Source organism: Homo sapiens, chromosome 2 (genome assembly GCF_000001405.40).
Source record: "Homo sapiens chromosome 2, GRCh38.p14 Primary Assembly".
NCBI lineage: Eukaryota > Metazoa > Chordata > Mammalia > Primates > Hominidae > Homo > Homo sapiens.
The window spans coordinates 208,871,886-208,873,619 of NC_000002.12; the positions used below are offsets into that span (position 1 = coordinate 208,871,886).

General features: G+C 37.2%; 1 annotated feature.

Annotated features, from left to right (window-relative positions):
- Window positions 314-1,513: an enhancer, noted in NCBI's record as "CDK7 strongly-dependent group 2 enhancer chr2:209736923-209738122 (GRCh37/hg19 assembly coordinates)". NCBI's record gives its function as "activates an origin of replication core promoter dependent on BRD2, BRD4, P300/CBP, MED14 and CDK7 cofactors, with strong dependence on CDK7, by STARR-seq in HCT116 cells {active_cell/tissue: HCT116}" and the evidence as "EXISTENCE:reporter gene assay evidence [ECO:0000049][PMID:35650434]".

Genomic DNA, 1,734 nt, shown 5'->3' on the forward strand with positions numbered 1-1,734 from the left:
TTAGAGATTAAAAGAGAAGAAGGATGAGTTAAACTATTCAAAAGAAAAAAAAACACACACAGAATGGAGATTTTTCTTATTCCTTAGGAGGAGTTCTCTCTTCTCTAGTATTACTTCCTCATTGAGCAAATATCATCAATGAGATAAAATGAAAAATTTCAGGATCCTGGTTCCTTTTGTTTGGCACTTCCCATTTTCACTCTGTTGATTGCTATTTTCAACAAGCACACTCAGGCTATACGGAAAAAGTGTACAACCAAACCAGATCCATACGGGAATAATTTATATAAGACTAAGGGAAAGGGGAACAGAGCAGAAGGGAAACTGGAGACCAAAAGGCTGCACCAGCAGTCCAAATTGTGCTTTAAGAACAAAAAGAAATTCATTCTCATTTTAGACTAGTTTTCTCCCCAGATCTATGTTTTGCATGAAGACCAAGAAATCAAGAAACCATAGGAGAGCCAGGGAGTCCAGAGGAAATGGGGATGGAAGTGATCTGAATCTTGATTGTGGCAATGGTTACAACACTATACGCATTTGTTAATATTCACAGGACTGCACATTGAAAAGGTAAATTTTACGCTTAAAAAGAGAACAGGAGAATAGAAACAGGTTGCTCTTCCCAGTGGTGGCTGCACGACATACTTAAGCTAAGTGATCATATGGCTGAGACTGCAAATGTTTGATTGTTTCACTGGCCACTTCAGCTGACCAGCTATTACTAAGTGTTTGAAATGTTCTTTCCTTCATTTCATGAGAGAGAAAAAATAATGAGTAAACAAAAAGTGTCTGTGAATATGTCAAAGGATATTATTGTTTACAACGCCTGCGTGTGTCATATGCCTATATAAAATTGTCAGTCAATCTGAGTCTATGTGGGTTTCTGTGACTCATTTCAACATAGAATATGAGTAAGAATAATGTGTCATTTTGGGTGTAGGGGAATTAAGCATGAGCTTGTTTCATCCTTGTTCTTGCCCTTGCCCACGTGGATGGCAAGAAAAGGCTATAAAATGGTTGAATTACACAAAGAAAACTGCTTTTGTCTCTAAATTCTTGCTTCTGACCTATAATTCTGGGAGAAGACAAAAAGTCAGATCATAAAACTTTTCAGGTTTTACAAAACTGATTTAGAAAAAAAAATCACTTCGCTGTGTGCCCTTCTTATCTTAAAGTATATAGATTCTTTCAGAGAAAAGTGTTACTAATTAAGAAGCATATTGATAATGACAATAATCAAAGTAGATTAATTTTTAATCCTTATAGAATGGCTGAGAAACCTATCACATACCTTATCAGCAGAAATCAATAGAAAGGATTGTAAATCTCATTATTTCCCAGCACTAAGAGTCTTTATCTCTTTTTCACCCAAGCCATTTCTCTGGCAAGAAACCATTACACTGAATACCGTAGGCTCATTTTTAAGATGCTCATAATATATTATATGAATATTTTACAGAGCAATCCAAGAATACGTAGACCCCTCTCAGAATCTGCAGGAGCCATAGCTCTAAAGCCAGCCTCTTTCCTGCAGGGTTCTCAAGGAAGTCATTCTCTAAGCAAAGCAGTGACTGCAGGGAAAGGGAGCCGCTGCAGCTTGTGTCCAGAAGAAATCAGCAAGACCACAATACTTTTTAAATGACCTGTAAAATTGAGCACTTTCAGATCTCATTCAACAAGGCCTGCCAGGCCAGGTGCACTGGAAGTCAATTACTGTATTAAGCTAATGTTCAG